Source organism: Homo sapiens, chromosome 2 (genome assembly GCF_000001405.40).
Source record: "Homo sapiens chromosome 2, GRCh38.p14 Primary Assembly".
Taxonomy (NCBI): domain Eukaryota; kingdom Metazoa; phylum Chordata; class Mammalia; order Primates; family Hominidae; genus Homo; species Homo sapiens.
Genome location: NC_000002.12, coordinates 81,688,418 through 81,715,050, shown reverse-complemented (window position 1 = coordinate 81,715,050; position 26,633 = coordinate 81,688,418). Strand labels below are relative to the sequence as shown.

The 26,633-nt window shown below is 36.6% G+C and overlaps 2 long non-coding RNA genes across 15 annotated transcripts in view; one reads left to right on the top strand and one right to left on the bottom strand.

Annotated features, from left to right (window-relative positions):
• The window catches only part of LOC102724542 (uncharacterized), a 368,996-nt gene that overhangs the window by 135,683 nt on the left and 206,680 nt on the right, over positions 1 to 26,633 (bottom strand). The gene's annotated exons all lie outside the window — the stretch shown is intronic.
• Positions 5,291 to 6,219, top strand: LOC105374828 (uncharacterized). Its single transcript, XR_940293.3, has 2 exons — positions 5,291 to 5,396; positions 6,141 to 6,219. It is a non-coding gene; the product is annotated as an uncharacterized LOC105374828 (long non-coding RNA).

Sequence of the window (26,633 nt, the reverse complement as noted above, 5' to 3'; positions counted from 1 at the left end):
GACTTGCCAAGTGACCTCAGCTAGCTAAAATGGCCTACCCTTGGCCTTCTGCCACAGTGCAATGACGACATAACCATTTCAGAGAAATGACTTATCATGTGAAACGAATCAAAGATTTTAGCATCCCAGGATGTCATTTTGCAAATTATATTCTTGAATGCTACACCTATGCCCTGTAAAGTTCTGAGGGAGTTGAGTTGTCTTTGGAGAATGACAGATTGCTGCCTCAGGACAATTTACTCAACAGTGATAACACTAAAATTGAGATGGTGGACAAGCTGGAAAATAAATGATCATTGAGTAAATGGCAATGATGGGAACATTGGCCTGTCTTTTTTAGGAGACGTTAAGACTCATCCGAAAGAGCTTGAATATTCCGGAAAGAGACTAGTCAGTCTCCACCAAACAAATGACAAAGAACCATACACCTTTTTTTTTTATATTTTTGACACAGAGTTTCACTCTTGATGCCCAGGCTGGAGTGCAATGGCACGATCTTGGCTCACTGCAACCTCTGCCTCCCAGGTTCAAGTTATTCTCCTGCCTCAGCATCTAGAGTAGCTGGGATTACAGGCACATGCCACCACGCCCAGCTAATTTTTTATAATTTCTTTTTAGTAGAACAATTCTAGACTTCAAATGTGGATCTGTGAATGTTCTGATGTAATTTACTTTGTCCACTCCTCCTAGGTCTTTGGCTTATTAGTGAGACTGGATGACTAGCTTTCTAGTATAGATCTGAATGAAAAAATGCATCCTTACCATTATCTTGGGAAAAAAATGTAATAGATTAAGCTTGTGGTGATGACTATAATGGTAAAGGTAAAAAACGAAGTACAAAATCTAAAAGAAGATTAAGAGATTTATTCAGTAGTTGCTATCTTGTATTGAGAGAGCAATTGGTCGTGATGTATCTGATCATGAGTTTTACCTACACCTAAGCAAGAAGACAAACTTGATTTGGGAGCAATATAGTATGCAGAACTTAATTCCAGGGCATCAGAAGACTTCATATCTAATTGTCAGCAAAGGGTACTCAATAATAAAATGATGCTATAAAAATTCATTTATTTGTTCATTTATTCTTTCAAGAAATATTTATTTGATTGTTTACTATGTACCAGGCTCCCAACAAGCAGGATAAGTAGCTGAGTTCTAAATTCTATGCAATGAGAGGCTGAGGAGGCTGTATTACACTTCTTGTCTCTGTCAAGGCTGATTTCTACACAAACTTGTAGGTAAAGGTCACTAATGGACTTGGAAGAAGAGGTAAAGAAGCCAACAGAGAAAGTGAATAGGGATGGGGCGTGTAGGTGTAGCAGGAAATAGTCCATTAGATATTCTAGCAATTATTGAGGTAAACTTCCTCATTTGGGTGAACACATTCCTCATTTGGGTGTTTTACTCCGGCCCTTTTATTGAGTGACCTGAAAGGCTGCCAGTTTTGATGGGACTCCAGAACAGGAGAAGGCTCTGCAACAAGTCCAGGTTGCTGTGCAAGCTGCTCTGCCACTTGGGGCATATGACCCAGCAGATCCAAGGTGTTTGAGGTGCCAGTGGCAGATAGGGATGCTATTTGGAGTCTTTGGCAGGCCCCCATAGGTGAATCACACCAGAGGCCTCTAGGATTTTGAAGCAAGGTCTTGCCATCTTCTGCAGATAACTACTCTCCTTTTGAGAGACAGCTCTTGGCCTGTTACTGGGCTTTCGTGAAAACTAAACGTTTGACTATGGGTCATCAAGTCACCATGTGACCTAAACTGCCTATCATGAGCTGGGTGCTTTCTGATTCATCTAGTCGTAAAGTGTGTCATGCACAGCAGTGTTCCAGCATCAAATGGAAGGGGTATATATGTGATCAGGATCCAGCAGTTCCTGAAGGCACAAGTAAGTTACATAAGGAAGTAGCTCAAATGTCCATGGTCTCTCACTTCTGTCACCCTTCCTTCTGTCACTCAGCCTGCCCTGATGGCCTCATGGGGAGTTCCTTATGATCAGTTTACAGGGGAAGAGAAGACTAAGGCCTGGTTCACAGATGGTTCTGCACTATATGCAGACACCACTCGAAAGTGGACAGCTGCAGCACTACAGCCCCTTTCTAGGACATCCCTGAAGCATAGCAGTGAAGGGAAATCTTTCCAGTGGGCAGAACTTCAAGCGGTACACCTGGCTGTGCACTTTGCGTGAAAGGAGAAATGACCAGATGTGTGATTATATAATGATTCATGGGCTGTAGCCAATGGTTTGCCTGGATGGTCAGGGACGTGGAAGAAGTATGATTGGAAAATCGGTGACAAAGAAATTTGGGGAAGAGGTATGTGGATGGACCTCTCTGGTCAAAACCTGTGAAGATATTTGTATCTTGTGTGAGTTTTCACCAATAGGTGACCTCAGTAGAGGAGGATTTCAATAATCAAGTGGATAGGATGACCCGTTCTGTGGACACCACTCAGTATCTTTCCCCAGCCACCCCTGTCATTGCCCAATGGGCCCATGAACGAAGTGGCTATGGTGGCAGGGATGGAGGTTAAGCATGGGCTCAGCGACATGGACTTCCACTCACCAAGGCTGACCTGGCTACAGCCACTGCCTAGTGCCCAATTTCCTAGCAGCAGAAACCAACACTGAGCCCTTGATATGGCACCGTTCCTCAGGGTGATCAGCCAGCTAGCTGGTGGCAGGTTGATTACATTGGACCTCTTACATCACAGAAAGGGCAGAGTTTTGTCCTCACTGGAATAGAAATTTACCCCAAATATGGGTTTGCCTATACTTCATGCAATGCTTCTGCCAAGAACACCATCCATGGACTCACAGAATGCCTTACCTACCATCATGGTATTCCACACAGCATTGCCTCTGACCAAAGCACTCACTTTGCAGCTGAAGAAGTGTAGCAGTGGGCTCATGCTCATGGAATTCACTGTTATTATGTTTCCCATCACCCTGAAGCAGCTGGATTGATAGAACGGTGGAATGGCCTTTTGAAGTCACAATTACAATGCCAACTAGGTGACAATACTTTGCAGGCCTGGGACAAAGTTCTCCAGAAGGCCATGTATGCTCTGAATCAGCATTCAATATATGGTACTGTTTCTCTTGTAGCCCAGATTCACGGGTCTGGGAATCAAGGGGTGGAAATTGAAGTGGCACCACTCACTGTCACCCCTAGTGATCCACTAGCAAAATTTTTGCTTCCTGTTCCCAAGATATTATGTTCTGCTGGCCTAGAGGTCTCAGTTCCAGAGGGAGGAATGCTGCCACCAGGAGACACAATAACAATTCCATTAAACTGGAGGTTAAGATTGCCACCTGGGCACTTTGGGCTCCTCCTACCTTTGAGTCAGCAAGCTGAAAAGGGATTTACAGTGTTGGCTGGGGTGATTGGTCTGGACTATCAAGATGAAATCAGTCTACTACTCTACAATGGAGGTAACGAAGTGTACGCATGGAATACAGGAGATCTATTAGGGCTTCTCTTAGTATTACCATGCCCTGTGATTAAGATTAATGGGAAACTACAACAGCCCAATCCAAGTAGGACTACAAATGGTCCAGACCCCTTGGGAATGAAGGTTTGGGTCACTACACTAGGAAAAAACAACAAAAAACAAAGCAAAACAAAAACACACACACACAACCTGCTCAAGTGCTTCCTGAAGGCAAAGGGAATACCTAATGGGTAGTAGAAGGAGGTAGTCATCAATACCACCCATGACCACGTGATCGGCTGCAGAAAGGACCATAACTGTCATTAGTATTTCCTCCTTCTTTTGTTAAAAACATGTTTGTGAATGTGCACACTTGTACGAAGACAATATCTTCATTTTATTTCCTTTTTATCATGTGACATATGATTTATTGACTTCATATCAGCATTTAAGTATTAACTTTATGTAATAGTATTTGGGTTGGGGATTGGTGCATTTCTGCTTGTACAAAAGATAGTTGTATTACGTTAGGTGTAATTATGACCTTATTGTCTTTATTTGAAGATTATGTGTGATCTCAGGAGCTGTGTATGGCTTCAACTTGACAAGGGGTGGACTTGTGATGGTTAATACTGAGTGTCAAGTTGATTAGATTGAAGGATGCAATACTGATCTTGGATGAGGGTATTGCCAAAGGAGATTAACATTTGAGTCAGTGGGCTGGGGAAGGCAGACCCTCTCTTAATCGGGTGGGCACCATCTAATCAGCCACCAGCAAATATAAAGCAGGCAGAAAAATGTGAAGAAGCAAGATGGGCCTAGCCTCTCAGCCTACATCTTTCTCCTGTGCTGGATGCCTCCTGCCTTCAAACATCAGACTCCAGGTTCTTTAGTTTTGGGGCTTGGACTGGCTCTCCTTTCTCCTCAGCAAGTAGATAGCCTATTGTGAAACCTTGTGATCATGTAAGTTAATACTTAATAAACTCATATATATATATATATATATATATATATATATATATATATATATACACACACACACACACACACATATATCTCCTATTAATTCTGTCCCTCTAAGAGAACCCTTATAATACAGAAGGCCTCAGGAAACTTACAATCATGGCAGAAAGGGAAGCAAACACATCCTTCTTCACATGGCGGCAGTAAGAAATACAGAGCAAAGGGGTGGAGGAAGCCCCTTACAAAACCATCAGATCTCATGAGAACTCATTCACTATCACAAGAACAGCATGGAGGTAACTGCTCCCATGATTCAATTACCTCCCACTGGGTCCCTCTCATGACACATGGAGATTATGGGAACTACAATTCAAGATGAGATTTGGGTGGGGACACACCAAAACCATATCAATCACAAAGGTCAAGATGAGATTTAGGAGACTGTTTTTGCTGGGATAAATGACTGCAATAGTTATCAAGCCAGTGAAAGGTTTTCAAGTGTTTTGAATGCAAAAATCTTTCCTGAAAAACTCTTTTTAGGAGCCCACTATGTATAATACTTGGGGCCCTCTTGCGTACAATTTGTAGAATGCCTACTTTTTGTCCCAAAACCCTACTGGCTTCTAAGTATTCTCACTGGTTACTCCAAATCCAAATGTAACTATTGTAAAAACAGTATATATCTATAATGTCTTAACTGATTTCAAATAGGATACTTATACTTTTGATATCTAATGTTGTCATCTGCCTGTCTAGTGTTACCTTCCAGGACAGTGTCAACACACTCTACTTTATTTTTATAGTGAGTTTGCTTTCTATGTTTCAATATCTGAATTGTTAAGTAGGGCTAACTCAGTAGTGCTCATCATTTTTTTGTTTGTTTGTTTGTTTTTCAGATCAACCGATCAGGCAGATAAAGGCACTCTAAGTGAATGGAATATTAGATCCATCAGTTTTTAGTAAAACATAAGCAAAAGCAAGCAAACAAGCACAACACACCAGGTGAGAATTGAGACACCATACAAGAAATGTACATCTACATTGGAGAATAAAATTGACTAACTCTAAGCAACAACTGAACTGTGTATACTGGATTTGTGAAAATAGCTATAGACATTAAAATTGAGTAAGAAAAAACTATACCACTAAAAACTTACAAAGTACATTTTTTGTAATACTATATAACAATAATGTTAAGTATAGAGAAAACTGTAAATATATCTTTGTTCTACCTGCATATCTTCTCTTAAGAACCAATGCGTTCTTAGATTACATAATACTTTATAGTTTACTAAGTATATTTAATTCTAAGAAAACCTTGTAGTAATATAAGTCTTATTGTTACTACATTATGGATGGGGAAATCAAAATTAGAGAAATTAATTTGGTAACCAAGCCACAAAATTGATAAATGGTCAATCTGGGAACTAGACTGTAAACTTTAATTGTACAGATCTTTTCAGAATTCTTTTGATTCTTGGAAGAAACAGAGGGTAACATCAAAGGAGAAAGAGCAGAAACGGTTTGAAATATAGAATCCATATTTTTAATCATAAATTTCCATGCCAACTATCATGATAAACACATTTGCAAGATTTAGAAACATAAAGGTTAATATTTTTACTAATAGAGTATTTAAAATCAACTAGAAAAGCAAGCAAAAACATGCACAGGAGGTAAATTCACCATTTTTCCCACAATATTTATTGGGGGTAAATAGAGCTATGTGCTTTTTTCTTTTAACAGGAAACCAAATAGATGCTGATGGAGATTTTTTAAAACTCTCAATATCTGTCAGTGGTCAAGTGGTGGAACCAGGATTTGGGTCAGTCTAATTAATTCTAAGCATTGAACTTCTAAAAGCTATGCTGTGATATCTCTGCTGTAATACAATTCCTCTCCACTTAGTTCTCTGAACAGTAAAATGATGCATAATGTGTGTGAAGGTTTTTGTATAACATGTGACTGGGGAATGCCACTGACATTTATTTCACAGAGGCCAGAGACATGCTGACCCCAATGACTTCAAAGGTCCCTTCTTGACTCTAGCTTTCTGTGAGTGAATTGATTTTTAATATAATATGTATAAATGGTAGACATTCAAAATGCATTTGCAAAATCCAAAGTGTAAAGTTCAGTGAATTATTTTGTTTACTAATATATTTGAATCCATATTTGACAAAATTTCTTAGATTTTAATTTTTAAGGGGTTTTAGTACATTTCTGATTAATTTTTATTTACATTATTCTCTACTATAGACACATTAGCATTTCTTGTCTCACCAAGCCTCGTTACACTATCATTTAAAAAGCTAATAACAGTTTTTTCTTTTCCTTTTTTTTTTCTTCCTTTTAACCAGCTGGTCATCTGTAAAAAAGGCCCTTGTGACTCCAGAGATTGCAACCATCCTCAGGCCTTCTAGAAGTTAACAGGAGGTTTACAAATGACCTTTAGCTTCCTTCAACTAGGCTAGCATATGACATAGAAGCTAATATCTCCCACTCTGCTCCCTGTGATTGGATCCTTGTTTACATCTAATAGGATAATTGGCATCCCCAGTTTGAAAGGGTCAAGGAAGTCTGAGAAATTCTGAATGTGTAAAACTGCCGAAAGGTAGGGATTGTCTCCTTAACCCCTTCAGGTAACTGGTACTGAGCATCATATAGGGTTTCCCAAAAGACTGTGAAGTGATTCCCAGGGAATTTTCTTCTGTTTTACAGGTAACCAGATGATGTCCTATATATCTAGTAAACCCATTTTCACACTACATTAGGAATGTATCAAAGCAAGCCAAATAGCTTCTCAACCCAAATGAAGGAATCTAGGGAAGATTTCATGGCTTTGCCTTGCTTTCTGCCTCACATAATGATTTATAATAACATGTCAGTATTTCTCAGATATTTCTCAGAGCTCCTGTTGAGTTTATGTTTTTTTTTTTTTTTTTTTTTTTTTTTTTTTTTTTTGCTCATTTTCTATTCCAGAAAACAATAACAAAATCCTTTCATCTCCGCAAAGCAATAACTACCACCTCGCTGGGTTAGCACTGAATCAAGTTTTATCACTAAATTGTGGAATTTTCAGTGTTGGGTACCCAACTCCAGAGAAAAGTATTGAACATGCTAAACTGTCACAAAGTAAATGGAATATTATATGGAGTAGTATGTTTTCTGCTGAAGAAATCTCATCTCCATTTCAGAGAAAAATTAACATAATTTCAGCTATCGATCAACTCTATTGCAAAGTTTCTCATTTACTTATGTCAGTGTCTTTACAAATGGCATCAATTTAACTTGACTAATTTTAAGGAGAAAGACAGGGGAAAAATAATCTATGGAACAAGTGACTTGGCTGCTTCCTTTCATAAGAGGAGCATCTTTGTGGTAGTTCTTCCCTTCTGGAAAATTCATTCTCTTTGATTAATTTTGGTGTCAGTGGTACTTTGGGCAGGTGCAAATGCAGAAAGACCACTATGGAGGGTTATTACCGCAAGTGAAATCACCAGGAGCAGGGAAAGTGAGATGTCCCTCATGTCCACAGTTTTTCCCTCTCTGCCAGAGAGCTGAACACTTCCTTTTACATTTCACTTGGCTTACTCACGCCCCAGTGCCTGATGGCTTCATTTGCATTCAAACCTTCACCTAGGGGAAACCTGGAGAAACTACACATGTCCAGTTGTAACCATTTTGATGAAAGAATTGGGGCTTTATAAGAGGGGTAAGCAAATAGCATGCAGGCCAAATCTATTCTACTGCCTGTTTATGTGCAGCTCATGAGCTAAGAACTGATTTTACAGATGAACCTCTGTAATCTATTTGATAGTAAAGAACACTAACATCGAAGCCCAATTAAGAAAAATGTTATCCACCCAAAAAGAATTCAATTCTCCTCACTTATACATGTGTATTACCAAAAAATTACTAAATTCTTGTTATATTCTGAATTTGTTAATAAACATTCAGTAAAAATATGGTTTAACGGTTGTTACAAACACCTACGTAATAGCCTCATTTTTTTTCTTGGCCCCCAAAGCCTAAAACATTAATTTACTATCTGGCCTTATACAGAAAAAGTTGACCCCTGCTCTAGATGTCAAACAGAAATGTCTCCTACCTTACAAATGTACTAAATCTGCCCTTTACTCCTCATCAATTAGCATAATGTATCTTGGGCAGGTGGCAGAATATCTCCAGCTACTCATATAATAAAAAGTATTTTGGCAACTTTTATCCAAGAATGGGCTCAATCAGTATTTGAAATATTTATTTCTGTAGAATAGTCAGAAGCTCAGTGTTGCACTTGAAGTTCCCCTGACCTCTTGGGCCTATATCAGGTGGTAACTGACTTTGGTGATGAACTATGATTACATTATTTTCTATTTCACTACCTATGACATCCTCTTTTCACCTTCTCCCATTCACTAAGTGGTCCTCTTTCTGCAGAATTGAGAGAGGAAATATTCAGAGGTAAGTCCAGAAAATGTCTGGTGAGACTGATAGTCTTTGAGCTGGCTTTCCCCTTGGCCACTGCTTGAAGCTGTATCTGCCTTTCCTAGTGCTTTCCTGGATGACTCAGAGTTCTGCTTTTGAACACCTCTAGCTGGTACCACCTAGAAAATGGCCAAAGTCTCTTTTTTTCGGTTGTCTACCTGCTACCTCCCCTCAGCCTCTAATGAACCTCTAATGAATTCACCCTTTGCAGAAAAACCTCTCCAGCTTTTAAAACTTCCTCTGGCTAATACACCTACCACATCTGGTTCCCTAGAAACATGAAATTGTGTCCTGCTTTCAGTCAAAGAGTATTTATTTTCCCCAAATAATCTTACAACCTGCTTCCACAGACCACTTTAGCCAGCCTCACAATGGTAGTCTTTTTCTTTCTACTTTATTTATTTTGTAATGCTCACATCTCATGGAAGTCCACTCCAAGAGAACACATGATGCTCTCTAAAAAAAATCTCCTGCAATCTTTTCACTAAGGCTGAAATGAGAGAAAGCAAATCCCCACCTTTTCCATGGGAGAAAGACTTAACTGCATACTTAGATGGGAGAAAGATTTACTGCATACTTAGAACTCTCCCCACAAAAATATTCTCTTCCCCAGCTACTTGAGCTTAATCTTACGCTCTCAACGTGGGGATTAGGCTAATCGTTACTGAACTGATTTCAGGCTGTTTTACTAAACCTACATAGATGATGATCACCATACATCTATATAAATACTCACTCTGTTTTGGCATCTGTGGAACTTAGCTGAAACTTGACACAAAAGTGAATTTCATTTTTAACATTCAGTTGCACCAGGAATTCATTAACTGCTCCCTACCACAGTTTACATTTAGAAAGGAATCCTGATAAAAGCAACAAAGAAATGGACTATTATTGGTAGAACTTGAAACATCAGATCATACTATATTATGGTTTCAATGAGTATGACATTTCATATGTTTCTTCTATCCAGCTCCAACAAATATATTCAAAAAGCAATTTATGCTTTGCTTCTTACTGATACAGTTGGTTCCACTTGTAGATAAATCTTCAGTGAAAAAAAAGTTTGATGACAAGGGATATCTTACATGTAAAATTGGTAGATAAAATAAAAGACATCCAGTTAAATTGAAGTTTCAAATAAACAAAATCTAATTTGGGGGTATAAATGCATTCCAGGCAATATTTGCAATATGCTTATTCTTTAAAATAAAAGCTGTTTATCTGAAATTTGAATTTAACTAGGCATTCTGCATTTTTATTTGCTAAATCTGCCAATGTTATTTACATGCCAAACACTCTCCCTTTTTCTCTGGGATTTACAGAAGTTAATAAATGACAAGCCCACCATTAGCATTTGGCCAAACCTGGGCAGAATCCTCATTTTGCAGTTCATCAGCCAGACAATTCCATTGTTTAAGTCAGTGTAAATATAACCAATTAAGGCAGTTCTTGCCATAGTAATAGGTAGCTATCTAAGGATGTTGTGTGTAGATTCTATATTTTGGATGTGAAATGACCTCATAAACAAGAATAAATTACAGGGGTGATGAAATTAAATATTTGGCTCATTGTTAATTGGACAGATCTGTTACTGATTTATTGTGCAGTTTCAACTCAGTGCAGTCTGACTACGGAATTTATTATTATTTTGTAATCACTGTCTTTGATGATGCTCTGTGGCAGGGCTTTCGCAGCATAGGGGGAGAAGACAGGTCACATTTAGAGTTGACTTTAGAATGTGGAATAATTTGCATTCGGCTGTGGGACCTAACATGAATTCTAGGCATAAGACCTACCCGCTCAACTTATTAATTTATGTTTTTTGTTTTACTTCTTCTCGATGTTCCATACATATTCTCTTATTTTCCCACATTCACGTAGAGACTATGCCTAATTACCTCAGGGAAAGGCTGAAAGCACAAATAGCAGGATAGTGTCTGAGCTTTCATTTTCAGCAGTGATTAGCAATGAAGGGAAAGGCATGACAGAAGTGAGAAAGAGAATAACTTGAGAAAAAGAGAATTGAGAGAGCAGAGTTGTCCCAGAATTATAGCAGATTCTTCCAGACTGAGGTCACAGTCCACCTAGCCCAGAGACTTGAGGTGCTGACAGGTCTTCCATCTACCCTGCTAGTCTTCCTAGACTCGCCCTGAGGTAGGACAGCAGGTTTTGGCTACAAGGAAACAATGTGTCCTGGGAATGCTAAAAACTAGGTCCTTCTTCCTCCTGACTTTGCTAGGCCACCAAGTTCGCTAATACCCATGACTCATCCATTCACACCAAAAACACCCTCAGAATCTCAATTTTGTTTTGCTGATAGATTTCCCAGATTAAAAAAAAAAACAACAAAAAAAAAACAGGTTGAGTCAAGAACATGAGACTCAGTTTTCCAAGGAATATTATCTCACATTCATTATCTCTGAGTACAAGGACAGTAACACGTTTCTTGACTCATAAAGTTGAGACTCAGCCCTGTGCTCCACCTGGGAAAATTAGCCCATGAATCCCAGCTTTTTTTAGTTTGAGTGTCATAGCTAGGGACTTCATATAACTTAGAGTAGGCAATTGCTAGAGAAAAAGTTTAACTCCTTTTTAAAAAGCATTATATCCTGACCTTTAAAAACAGTTATTTACAAAAATTATTTTTAGAGACAAGGTCTTACTCTGTTGCCCAGGCTGGAGTTCAGTGTCGTGATCATAATTCACTGCAGCCTTGAACTCCTGGGTTCAAACAATCCTCTTGATTCAGCCTCCCAAGTAGCTAAGACTACAGGCTTATGTCAGTATGTCTCGACCTTTTAATTACTTCATCAGACTGTTTCCCTGTATAACCTCAATATATATTGCAATGAAAGGAGAAGCTGCTGTGAGTATTGGATTAACAGATGAGCCAAGGGGTTGCAACTTGTCTTCCTCCTATAAACTTCCACCCATCTTGTTATCCTGTCCCCTGGGGGATTTACAATGCCTTGTCTAAAAGGCCCTCCTGAAATTTTTAAGAAAATTGTCATAGTATATTTTTCATAGGGGAATATGCATCTAACAATGGGTAATTAACTGCTCATTCATCCTGATAACTATTTTAGCGTGCTGTTAATCATATGATTTCCTAACCATCTGCTTGCCCTTATCAACATAAACGTGATTGTAGATGAACAATTCTGGAGCTGGTAAAGATATTTAAAAACTTGATAGTATAAATCATTGAAAGCAAATTTTTTTTGTTCATAGCTTTACAGGGAGGGAGATTGTAAAGAACATTCCTATGTTTTTCCTCTGTTTCTATATTGTGTTTTTATATTGTAAATTGTACTTCTTTGTGGAAGAAAATTTAAAGCCTGTATTCTCTGTTCTGCTGTCATTCATTTCCTTTTCCAAAAGTAAATTCATTGTTGAGGCCCATATTGACATATAGCCACATAGTCAACTACCTTTTTTCAGTATTTCTTTCATCCAGTATTTCTTACATTAAGAACTCTTCTCGCCCAAACTTTGTATGTATATTAGAACAAAGGGAGGAAATCCAAAATTGGGATATGATGCTGTAAAATACGTCCTGAATGTGATCAATGGCCCTTTTAAGTCAATTTTCTTTACCTTGCTGAAACCCATATTTTTTCAATTTGCTGCCGCTGTATCATCTCAGTATCTAATATCCAATAGGTATTTAGTGTTTGAGGTTTAACTATGCATCTTCAGAAAAGTGATTCTGTTATTCTGGATACGGAAAGATTAGTTTAATATTTTATTGTTGCAAGCATTCCTATTTTAGAATCACAGAGAGGGAAAGTCTAAATGAAAAGGCAACAATGGTAGAATTTTCATCACTGGCATGTAACTGTTGGGGATAGAGAAATATGCTGAGTCCAAATGACCTGCCTAATATCCCAAGTATGGAATTCCTTAAATCAAAAAGTCCTTAAATTTTTTAAGATTCCAGTATACTCCTTTAATACTAGACTTTAAAAACAATTCCTTGAAATATTTTTGCCATAGTTATAATTTTCTTTGTGTTTGTTACATTATCTGCAAACACAAAGAACTGTATATGCCACAATTTAAAAAATCACTATGCTGATTTTTGTGTATCTCATTTCCTTGCTTTAGTTCATAGGGATGCTATAAAAACACCCCTAAAAACATAGCTTGGTTTTGTGTGTTTTTTAACTTTATGCAAATTGATTCATATTATATATATTTTATGTCTTTCTTTTTTCACCTAACATTGTAAGATTACCCACTTTTTTTTGTAGATAAAATTTATTTACTTTCAGTGCAGAAGTATTGCATTGAATGAATATATGGGTTTATATGAATATATGAATATACAGCTATGGGTTTTTTTCTATTTTTAGATATTAGAACAATGTCATTCATGTATGTATAAATAAATATATATACACACACATATATACTACACGAGTACAATGATTTTCATGCTCAGAAATTTCTTTTTGGTATATACTTAGAGGTGGGGAGCCTGGTATATTAATTTTCTATTTCTATGTCAAAAATTATCACAAACTTAGGGGTTTAAATCAACACAAATTTCTTATCCCACAATTTTACAGTTCAGAAGCCTGCATTCACTCACCTGGGTTTGCTACTCAGGATATTATAAAGCCATAATCAAGGTATTAATTGAGCTTGCCTTTTGGAAGATTTTGCTTTAGTTCTTGGTGGTGGTAGGACTGAGGTTCCTAAGGTTGTTAGGAGCCTCTCTCAGGCCCGGGAGACTAGTCACAGTACCATGTCACGATGTGTATGTATTTTTACAGCAAAGAACATCCCTCTTTTAAATCTTCGCCGTGCTCTGAATCTTCTTCGGCCACCTGCTGGAGAAAACTTTACTCTAATGGGGTCACGTGTGATTTCACCACCCACCTAGAAAATCTCCCCATCCTAAGAACACTGATTAGTAAATCTAAATGCATCTGTAAAATCCCTTTTGCCACGTAAGTTAACATAATCATGGGAGTAATAGTAAGGACCAAAGGTCATGAGTTCTAGGTCATGAATTCTACATCTAGAATTCTGCCTACCATAGCAGGGCAATAGTGTTTGCATATCTTCAAATTCACCACATTAATTCCAACTCATGTTCTTTTTTTTTTTTTTTTTTTTTTTTTGAGACGGAGTCTTACTCTGTTGCCTGGGCTGGAGTGCAGTGGTGCGATCTCGGCTCACTGCAAGCTCCGTCTTCTGGGTTCACGCGTTTCTCCTGCCTCAGCCTCCCAAGTAGCTGGGACTACAGGTGCCCACCACCACGCCCGGCTGTTTTGTGGTTTTATTAGAGACGGGGTTTCACCGTGTTAGCCACGATGGTCTCGATTGCCTGACCTCATGATCCGCCCACATCGGCCTCCCAAAGTGCTGGGATTACAGGTGTGAGCCACCATGCCTGGCCAATTCCAACTTATTTTCTAACATGATTTAACCAATGTACATATCCGAAGACAACATATGAGACTTTGTATTGCTCTATAGCATCATTAGTACTTGGTATTATTAAACTTTTTAATTATTGCCAAACTGGCAGGCATATCTTGTTAAACTTTGGGGACCATTTGACCACTATTTATTTGTATTTAAAATGTTTTCAAACTCCCAGAAAGGTTGGGAGGCTAGGATAAAGACCTTTGTTAGTCCTGATCCATTGAGAAGTACCTTATTGACATGATATCCCATCATGCCCAATTACTTCAGTTTATTTTTTCTATAACCAAGAATATTCTCCTATATAACTGTAATATAACCATCTAAATGAAGAAGCTGACAATGGTTCATTACTGGTATGTAATCTATAGACTGTGTAAAAATTTTGCCAGTTATCACATTAATGTCATTTATTGAAAAAGATCCAACCCGGGATCAAAAGCTACACTGAACTGTTGTATTTATTTCGACTCCTTTGATTTGGAAGAATTCTTCAATCTTTCTTTGACTTTCATGATACTGACACTTTTGAAGATGACAGGCAAGTAGCTTTGAATAATATTCCTCATGTTTTCTCATGATTACCATTCAGATAATACATTTTTGAAAGAACATCCCAGAAGTGTTGTTATACTCTTCTCATTGCATCCCATTGTGTGGTCTACAATTTTGATTTGCCCATTACCTTCTGAAGTTAACAGGTGACTTGATTAAGGAGATATTTGCCAGGTTTTCAAGTGAAACAAAATTACCCTTCTTTTCCCTTTATAATTAAAATGCATTTTTGTGAGGAAGTATTTTGAGATAGGAAAATATTGTTCTTCATGAAACTTTCACCCACTATTTTTTGCATCTACAGTTATCTCTTGGTACTCCTGGAAGATTGGTTTCAGCACTCCTGTCCCAATGCCAAAACCCTCTGATGCTCAAGTCCATGACTTAAAATTTCATAGTATATGTATATAACCTATATGTATCTTCTTATGTATTTTAAATCATCTCTAGGTTACTTAAAATATCTAATACAATGTAAATGCTATGTAGTTATTACCCTGTATGCTTTTTAAAATTTGTGTTTTCTTTGTTTATAATTTTACTTGTTTTTATTTTAAATGTTTTCCACCCGTGTTTGGATTAATATCTCCAGATGTGAAAGCTGTGGCTAAGGGAGGATGAATTGTATTGATATTTTTTGACTGAAATAAGTTTTTACTATGTTGGCTGATAAACGCTGAATTTTAAATTTTATTATTTCTTCTTGATTTACTATTTAATATTCACCTAAAACCAAACAAAATTTCATTGTTTTACATTGTTGATGTTAATCGAATCTTTCAATGTTTCACTATTAATTATGATGGTTGTGAAAACTCTATCAAATAAAGGGTATCTCCTAACTCCAAGTTTCCAAAAATTTGTTTTGTTCTCAAAATCATAAGTTTGCCTTAAAATTATATTGAATTTTTTCAATAGGGGTTTTTTCTACATAATTTGATATTGTCATGTTGTATCTTTTTATCCTTTTACATATTACATTGACTAATTTTTAATAATAAAACTATGGTAAACCCATATTTACACAATAAATTATGCTATTTATTACTTGATTCATAATATTTTGCTTAAGAATTTTGCAGCTATGTTTATGAGTAAGATTAAACAGATATTTTCCATTCTTCTGTCATTTTTGACAATGTTTTATAGAATATCCTGGCTTCATAAAATGAGTTCTGAAATATACACTCATATGTAGTCACCTGGAAGTTTATGGCAAATACTGCGTTTATTTTTATATGAATGTTAAATACAACTTGGTGATGATGTCAGCTAAACATAGGTTTTCAAATTCTGCCTGTGTCAATTTTTGAAGTTTTATTTTCTAGAAATTTTTTCAAAGTTTCAATTATTGACAGTTATTCAAAATAGTATTTTAACATCTTCAGGATATGTAAGATTCTTTTCATTCATTATATAATATATTTTTCTTAATCAAATATGAAGATCAATTTTAATAATCTTGTCAAAGAATCAGTGTTTGGTTTTGTTATTAATTTCCATTATATTAGGAATATCTCTTTTTATTAACTTAGGCTCTTTAAATTTTCTATGTTCTACTTATTTTTCATTATGTTTCTATTGTGTTAGATGCTTAACTCATTGAGTTTCAGCTTTTCTTCTGTTCTTATTCGTAAAACAAGGTAATTATATCCTTACTGTGGCAGAAAAAGAGTACTTCCATAAGTTTCATTCTTAATATTTTTCCTGTTCATCCAAAAATATTGGTTGACTTATTTTTATCACTTAAAAAAATTTAACTTTTATTTTAAGTACATGGGTAAAAGCACAGGTTTGTTACGTAGGTTAGTTTGTGTCACTGGAATTTACTGCACAGATCATTTCATCACCTAGGTATTAAACCTAGTATGCATTAGTTATTTTTCCTGACCCTCTCCCTTCCCTCGCCCTCTACCATCCACAAGCCCCAGTGTGTGTTCTCATCATTTAGCTCCCCTTTATAAGTGAGAACATGTGGTACTTGGTTTTCTGTTCCTGTGTTACTCTTTTAAGAATAATGGCCTCCAGTTCCATCCATGTCCCTGCAAAGGCATGATCTTATTCCTTTTTATGGCTTCATGGTATTCCACTGTGTATATGTACGACATTTTCTTTATCCAGTCTATCATTGATGGGCATTTAGGTTGATTCCATGTCTTTGCTGTTGTGAATAGTGTTGCGATAACCATATGTGTGCATGTGTCTTTATAATAGAACAATTTGTATTCATTTGGGTATATACCCAGTAATGGGATTGCTGGGTTGAATGTTATTTCTGCCTCTAGGTCTTTGAGGAATCACCACACTATCTTCCACAGTGGTTGAACTAATTTACACTCCAACCAATAGAGGATAGTTTCTTTTGCTTTGCAGAAGCTCTTTAGTTTAATTAGATTCTATTTGTCAATTTTTGCTTTTGTTGCAACTGCTTTTGGTATTTTCGTCATGAAATTTTTGCCTGTTTCTATGTCCTGAATGGTATTGCCTAGGTTGTCTTTCAGGTTTTTTATAGTTTTGAGTTTTAAAGCCTTTAATCGATCTTGAATTAATTTTGTATATGGTACAAGAAAGGGGTCCCATTTCAATCTTCTGCATATGGCTAGCCAGTTATCCCAGCACCATTTATTGAATAGAGAATCCTTTCCCTATGGCTTGTTTTTGTTAGGATTTTTGAAGCTCAGATAGTTGTAGGTGTGTGGTCCTCTTTTGGGTTCTTTATTATGTTACATTAATCTATGTGTCTGTTTTGTACCACTACAAATCTGTTTTGGTTACTGTAGCCCTGTAATATAAAGTCAGGTAGCATGATGCCGTCAGCTTTGTTCTTTTTGCTTAGGATTGCCTTGGCTATTTGGGCATTTTTTTTTGGTTCCATATGAATTTTAAAATAGTTTTTCTCTAGTTATGAGAAGAATGTCAATGATAGTTTAACAGGCATGGCATTGAATCTATAACTTGCCTTGGGTCATATGGCCATTTTAACAATACTGGTTCTCAAGTTAACAAACTAACACAACAGAAAGAACTAGAGAACAAAGAGAAGACAAATAATGGGATTGTTAGGTTGAATGGCATTTCCAACTCTAGGTCCTAGAGGAATCACCACACTGTCTTCCACAATGGTTGAACTAATTTACACTCCCACCAATAGTGTATAAACATTCCTTTCTCTCTACAACCACATTAGCCCCTGTTATTTTTTGACTTTTTAATAGCAGCCATTCTGACTGGTGTGAGATGGTATCCCATTGTGGTTTTGATTTGCATTTCTCTAATGTTCAGTGATGTCGAGCTTTCCTTCGTATGATTGTTGGCCTCATGTATGTCTTCTTTTGAAAAGTGTCTGCTCGTGTCCTTTGCCCACATTTTTATGGGGTTGCCTCAATTTGTTTAAGTTCCTTATAGCTGGTGTATATTAGGCCTTTGTCAGATACGTAGTTTGCAAAACTTTTCTTCCATTTTGTAGGTTGTTTACTGATAGTTTCTTTGAGTGCAGAAGCTTTGCAGAAGCTCTGTAGTTTAATTAGACCCCACATGTCAATTTTTGCTTTTGTTGCAATTGTAAACCAGCTTGGAAAACATATTTCAGGATATCATCCATGAGATCCCTAACAGAGCTAGAGAGGCCAACATTCAAATTCAGGAAATGCAGACAACTCCAGTAAGACACTTTGATAGAAGATTATCACCAAGACACACCCATCAGATTCTTCAAGGTTGAAATGAAAGAAAAAATCTAAAAGGCACGTAGAGAGAAAAGGCAGGTCACCTACAAAGGGAAGCCCATCAGACTAACGGTGGACCTCTCAGCTGAAATCCTATAAGCCAGAACACATTGAGAGCTAATATTTGATATTCTTAAAGAAATTTCAACCCAGAGTTTCATATCTAGCTAAACTATGCTTCATAAGTCAAGAAGAATTGAGACCCTCTTCAGACAAAAAAATGCTGAGGAAATTTGTTATCACCAGACGTACCTTACAAGAGATCCTGAAGGAAACACTAAATATGGAAAGTAAAGACCATTACCAGCCACTACAAAACACACACTGAAGTACACAGACCAGTGACACTATAAAGCAACCACATAAACAAGTCTGCAAAATAATCAGCTAACATTATGATGACAGAATCAAATTCACACATATCAATACTAATATTAAATGTAAATGGGCTCAATGCCCCAATTAAAAGACACAGAGTGGCAAGCTGGATAGAGAACCAAGACCCTTTGGTACGCTGTCTTCAAAAGACCAGATACCAGAAACGTTTGATGTATAAATTAGAATAGAGGTGCTTATAAGATACCCTATTGAGAAGTTCAGTAGGTTTACCAAAACTTGACTCAAAATACTGGGTATCTATAAGGTCTGATAAAGTGTAGCAGAGGAAACTTTTAGCAACTGCAAACATTGGTATCTTCAACTTAGTTATCTGTCACCATGTCTAGAAGGTGAGGCTGTAACATTGGAATACTTGAACTGATTACAAAGATAGAGAAGTGAATATTCCAAAAAAGAGTGTCAATTAATTAATGGCAAGTCCATAAAGCTAAAACTTCATACTATTAACTTATTTATTTATTTATTTATTTATTTATTTATTTATTTATTGAGACAGAGTCTTGCTCTGTTGCCCAGGCTGGAGTGCACTAGCGCGACTCACTGCAAGCTCCGCCTCCTGGATTCACGCCATTCTCCTGCCTCAGCCTCCCGAGTAGCTGGGACTACAGGCGACCACCACTGCGCCCGGCGAATTTTTTGTATTTTTAGTAGAGACGGGGTTTCACCATGGTCTCGATCTCCTGACCTCGTGATCCACCCACCTCGGCCTCCCAAAGTGCTGGGATTACAGGCATGAGCCACCACACCCGGCCACTATTAACTTATTAATATAGCCTAATTTGTTATATTATTATATAGTATAAAATAAGTTATTTTAATTTTATCATGGAAGCTTTGATAAATTAAACATTTGTATGTTTTGGGATTTATTTGTAGTAGCCATATATATACTACCATTCTACAGATACCGTGCTGGATAGATTTAAGACTTATAATCAACGAGCTATGATTATTCAAAGTCTTGCTGATCAAGCCTGAATATTAGCACAGAAGTTATGGGGGATCTAAAAAAGCATGAGGTTTGGATTCATACAGTCCAGATGTGGCTTATGTATTTAATCATTATATTTTTAACTTCTCTGAGTATAAATTTTCTAATTTGTAAGAACCGATAAAAATACTTAATTACAGCAGTTTTGTGAGGCTGTTAAAGCATACTGTTGCTATGTAGTGTCTGATGCATTATAGGCTCTCAATGTATACTTATGTTTGGTTTTGGTTTTACTCTAGATAGTAGGTAATAATTGTTCTCAAATGTTTTGAAATATAAAGGGAATGCTTCTAGATCCATAGCTTATCCAACTTGGAATGAGCTAATAAAACTCTTCTAATTTTGTCAGCATCCAGAGAGGTTAATTGAGGAAAATAGTCCTCAAGCAGTATTTTTTGCTATTCATTATGCTGCCTATTTTAATAAGGCAGGACCAGGCAAAAAGAATTAGTGTTAGTGATGGTCTGAAATTCAGGACAGCATGAGATTACACTGAATATTTTTTCAGTAAATAATCTGGAAAGTTTAGACCACAACCACAAAGTACCAAATATTTATGAAATGCATTAAGCAAGTGCTTGCGCTTGCTGTATGATTATTGAGAAATGCAAAGCAACAGGACTTGGGCTGGTAGTAAGAAATTAAGGATAAAGTGCTAAATAAAGTGTGGAAGTAAAGGAGCGGAGGAGCTAATACACTGTTGTTCTTTTGCATACAATATTTGATCTGACAATTAAAAAAGAGTGCTAACTGGCACAAACAAACTCTTCATTAGGAATGCATCATTTTCATATATTTGATCGATAGGGATGGGATGCTGCTAGCAAAACTCTGATGGCTGGTTGAATGCACATATTTAGGGCAGTGCTGTTGAAAATGGATGCAGTATAGTTAGAGAAAACGACTGTGAGGGAGGCAATAAATAGTTGAAGAGGCAAAGGAAAACAAAGCTGCATGGAAATATTTAGCTCATGAGGGGGATCATGAAACATGGCTTGGTCAGCATTCATACTGAGAAAGGCAAAAAATGATCAGGAAGTTAGAGATGAATTAGTATCTTAGTTCACAAGGATTTAAAAAAAAAAATGAAAGGACAGCGAGATAGGAGAGTTTGAAGAGCATTATCATAAAAGAGGTGACCCTAGAAGGCATGGGGAATAAATGGTTGTTAAACACGAAAGAGTTTACAACCTTCACCAAATTAATATGCTATATAACTGGCATTGATCTCATAGGTGCAAAAGTCAGCATGAGTAGATTTTTATTATTTGGAATTGTAGTACAGAATTCAAAAGTCTTTTATATATTTTTATCTTAGGATTTTGGTGGGTAAAACGCTGGCATTGATTCACCCAATTCAGGAAAAAGGCACCAAGAGACTTGTGAAGACTGCTTGGGATGAAAACACAAATTTTAGTGAGCAGCCTAAATTCTATGTTTAAAAGTTATAGCAGTCTTCAATCAAAGTATGCAAGACTAAGAACCTAGCATCTTAGATAAAGTAATGAAAAGTCCCCTGGTGGGCCTAATGACAGTGAAGGATCTGCAGCTGGGGTTCGGTTGGGGGGCATGGTAGAAATATTAGATATAATGGCAAAAGGGTAATGCATGCTTTATGTTCTACCATTGGACAATGTGACACAGAGAGAAATATGACCAGAGAGAAACAGGGACATAATGCAGTTAAGCAGAGCAACTATGAGCATCAGAAGCATAACCAGAAATTCAAGGTTTGAGATTTGGAATCTGGAACTCTGGCACAGGTAACCTTATGTCAGTATGGAGAAATCACCAAGCTAAAGGGAGCCTTTGATTTCAGCATTAAGATAACTCTTTCTGGGAATATTTAACATTAAGTCCTATCATATCACAGTCTAAAATATTATATACCCTCTTTAGGAAAGTAATCTGGATGCTTTATCAGATAAAAAGCTTTATCTGATTCTTTATCAATTAGTGTTTTCAATTCTCAGTACATGTTTTGCTTTCCTAAATTTCACTCCTTTCTTCCAAGTGATTTGCCGATATGATTTGGTACAGTGTCAATTATCCCTGCTATAACAACTGACCCCAACACTTTTCTCCTCTATTCTCTTACTTGGAAACTTGTTGCATAATTATAAACGCCCAACAGATTTTCTGCAAGTCTAAATATGACAAGATGAAACCGCTGACTTCTTTCACATACAGTTGATCCTCATTATTCATGAAATCTATATTTGTGAATTTGCCTACTCACTACAATTTATTTATATCCCCCAAGTCAATTCTCCTGGCACTTTCATCATTCGTGGGCATGCACAGAGTGCCAAAAAATTTGAGTCACCTAGTGTACATGTTCTTAGCTGGTGTCAAAAAGGCAACACTCTTCTTCTTTCAGCTCTCATGATACAAATGTATCCTTTATTGTGGTCTATTTAGCCTCACAGTTTTCACATTTTCATGCTGTTTGTTGATGTTGTTGTTTAAATTGGCCCCCAGTTGTGGTGCTGAAGCACTGTCTAGTATGCCCAGCAGAAGACAAGTGTGGTGTGCCTAACAGAAAAGAATTATGTTAGCTAAGCTATGCTGAGGCATGAGTTACGGTACTGTTGCCTTTGAGTTCAATGTTAATGAATCAAAACTATATATTAAACAAGGTGTCTTTAAACAGAAACACACAACAAGATTATGTGCTGATTTGTCATTTTAAATGTGGTGAATAGATGTTCAAGGAATATAACTATTTGCAGTAGGAACAATGCCTCAGTATTTGATAATTCAATAATCTTGGTGACTCTATGGAACTATTACAGATAACCAGAATTGATTATATATTACAGTTACATTAATTGTCTACATTTTTGTTAACTTTGGTTCTGGTCCTCTTTTTCATCACACCGTGGATGAATGATCATAACAAAAATAAATTCTAGGCCAGAAAATAAAATTATGTATGTGCCATATATATGCTATATACATATATATATATATGTGTGAGGCCCAAAAGCAAAATGCATGTTATAGTCTGAGTTCCTTAAAGATGGGCAGGCAAACGTGAACTAAGAAACCTACAAGAAGAATGCAGCAAATGGAAGTCAAATTTAAACAGCAATCTCAAGATCTTCAGGGGCTTCAGCACCAAGTTAAAGACGGGTAGAAGGTGATTCTGACAACAGTCATCAAGTGCGTCCTGCCTATGGTACATCAGCCTGCCTTCAAGGCAGTGGGTATGAAGACCCACATCACTCTTGATATCCTTAGACTTGTATCTATTCTGCACTGTCAGTTTTTTATATGTCAGTAGTATATCTTCTGTCGTCTCCAGCTTTCCTTCCTACCGACTTGTCCCCTCTAAATGTGTTTCTATTAGAATGTTTCACATTGCCAAATATTTGCAGTTTGACCCTTGAGCTCTCCCTATAAGAAGCCAGCATTGTAAGGAGCCATGACCATCATTTTCTCTGTTCATATGTAAAGATACCAGCTGCCTATATGTAGCATAGGATGGCTATGACAATGTTAGGGATGTCTGAGAAAATATTTCTGCCAATCTGTGGATTCTCATAGCTTTCATGCCTAGCCCCTTGGGGCTTCCCGATTGTCTGTTTAAATCATGTTTCCGGAGAATAGGTAGAAGTCAAAGCTGATTATTGATGATCTCCAATCAAAGGTATCTTGTCTGCAATCCCTAACCCTGTGTGGTGCATTTTATAGTCTGCTCAAAGGAAATATCTAGGGAAAGTCTAGATTGCCCTGTGAGTTCCAAAATGTGTTCTGGAATGCTGAAACCATGTGAGGCAAAAACTGTTATGCAGCAAAAGCTAAAGGATTAGAGTTTGTAAAGATCTTTTAAATTGTATATCCTGGTACTAAGCCATTTTTTTCTCTGCCTACTGACAATATTACAAACAAATACAATTCATTCTAGAGATGGAAATAAATGTGAGATTCCATTTTAATTGTTCCACATAATAACAAGTGAACTTGGAATTTTTCAGTGCTAAATTGTGATAATTTGTTAGTACTGTACAATGGAACTTCAGCATCAGAACACTCATACATATGGGTAGTAGGAGGTGATTTCATAGACTTGATAGGGCTGCAGCTTCAGCCCAAATAAGTAGAGATTAGATGTGTAAATGCCAAGGAAAAGATAATGCTGGGTGTGCAATCAGCATGGACACATGCAGGATGTGGGACTAAAAATATTTTCTGAATGCTACATTATGGCTTCCTGGGGAAAAGATGGGATTTATGCATAGGGGCAGATATATAAGGTAATTACAGAGACTTTTACTTGATTTAAGAGATAGTCACTCTGTTTTCTTAAGTAGATAAAAATATGTCTTAGGCAAAGTAAGAACAGATTGGGAAGGTATAGGAGGAAGACTAAAAACAGAGCAACAAGCTGAGATGGTTTCTTAACCATTTCGGATGTCCAGTCTGGAAACAATGATACCCTGGCCCAATAGTTCTCATTGACTGAAGCTCCTGGGAACTTAGCTAAAATGTTTGGTATGAACTGGCATGGACATTTGCTTGTTTCTAGGTTCCATGGCCAATAATAACACCTTGAAAGTATTTATGTCACGGCTTCTAATCCCTCTTACTAAAATAAGCTCCTTAATGGTTTCCTATTCTTACCTGATCATCATTTTATCTTCTGAAACCCCAAATCAGATGATGTTACTTCCTAAATTAGGTATATTATTTGTCCTGCAGCTTCATTGCCTGTTGAATGAAATTCATCACCCTTGGCATGCCCTGTGAGATTATTTACTATTTCAAAAAAAAAAAAATTCTCTGTCATCACTTCTTGTTAAGAGCTGTATGCTAAATACACACTAAATTAGTATATTTCCTGATTATGTCATTCTTATCATGAATTTTTGCCTTTCCAATTTTCATTTCTTTGGTCTATAATAACCTCCCCTCCCCTCCCCTTAGGCATCTTGAAACAGTCAGATCTAATGAATTTTCTAATGTTTTAATGTCTTTATTCATGAATTTTTTTTTTTTTTTTTCTGGAGACAGAGTCTCGCTCTGCTGCCAGGCTGTAGTACAGTGGTGCCATCTTGGCTTATTGCAACCTCTGCCTCCTGGGTTCAAGCGATTATCTTGCCTCAGCCTCCCAAGTAGCTGGGACTACAGGTGTGTCCCACCACGCCCAGCTAATTTTTGTATTTTTTGGCCAGGATGGTCTCGATCTCTTGACCTTGTGATCCGCCTGCCTCAGCCTCCCAAAGTGCTGGGATTACAGGCATGAGCCATCGTGCCTGGCCATGAAATCTTAATTCACTCAAGTTGAACTAGTTTCTACTCTGTGTCCTCAGAAGAAGCGTACATGATTAAGAAAATTGACTTTATATTTGGACAGAACCACATTTAAATATATTCTACTTATCAACTGTGAGATTTGGCTTTATTATTATCCTGGTTCTGTATCTCATCTATAATAACATTGATATATCATGTGGTTTGTGAACATTAAATGAGATCAAACATGACATGTGGGATATTAGATATATTTTAATAAAATCACTAATTGTCACATAACAGTTGTCTCACTATTGTAATCAGTTTTTAATAACTTTCCCCTATATCTGTATTACAAAATTATAAAAAGAGAGTTCTTTATTTTTCCATATCTCCTAGTTTATATCACAGCATCTGTCACACAATAGGCCTTTAACAATTTTTTTACATCAATATGTAAAGTTCATAGAATTACACTTAACATGAATAATCTTATTTATAAAGTTAGAAAAAAAAAGAAAAAGTCTTCAGAAACCTAGTTTTCTATTATTTCTTCTTTAGTAGAATGTTCTAAGATGTGGTTTAGATAATCTGAGTCTTAAGACTATTTTCTTAGTCTTAAGAGGTCTCTGACCAAATAACATTAGACATAGCACACTAAGTATTGTTTTTAATAATTTATAGTTACACATTAAACTCAAGGATTCATTTAGTAAGTGTTTAACACAGCATTTTCTAATATTACATGACCCTTATCCCTATGTTTGTGTGCATGAGTTGTGCCTAATTCCATCCACAGAAATAGTTTTCAAAGTCACATTCTTTGAGAATTTGTCACTGTAAGGTCAACTCTTTTCAAATCAAATTCTTAGTTGAATCAGCTTTATTTTTTATCTAGATTTTAGTAAATTTTTCTTGAGTTAAAAAAGCCCTTCTTACATCTAGATTTGGGTATTGCTAGCCTATGTTACAGGAGTATCCTGAAGAACTTGTTCCAATAATCATTTGTATCTCTCTACTTCTCACAATTTTTTGTAATTATTAGTTCCAAGAAAATTCTATAAAGAACTATGGCTTAAAGTAAATTAGCATCAAAATAAAACAGATGATTATTTGAAGAGATCTAACAAAGTTTTATGGGTCTTGAACACAAAAAGACTATGAGTGATGTATTAACTAATATTATTGCTAAGATTCTATACGAAAGTTTTTTTCTTAAGGAAAAAAACAAAAACTTTCTTATCTTTCGTGTGTTACTATGAGACATTTGTCTTATAGAAGTTATGTGTAAGGGATGGCACTGAACTAACATGATGACGTTGGAAAAAGAGTTTTACATTCTCAACATGTTCCTTTTCCTTTTGATGTCTTTTTAAGAAAGCTAGAAACTATCTACCTTTTTTGTTT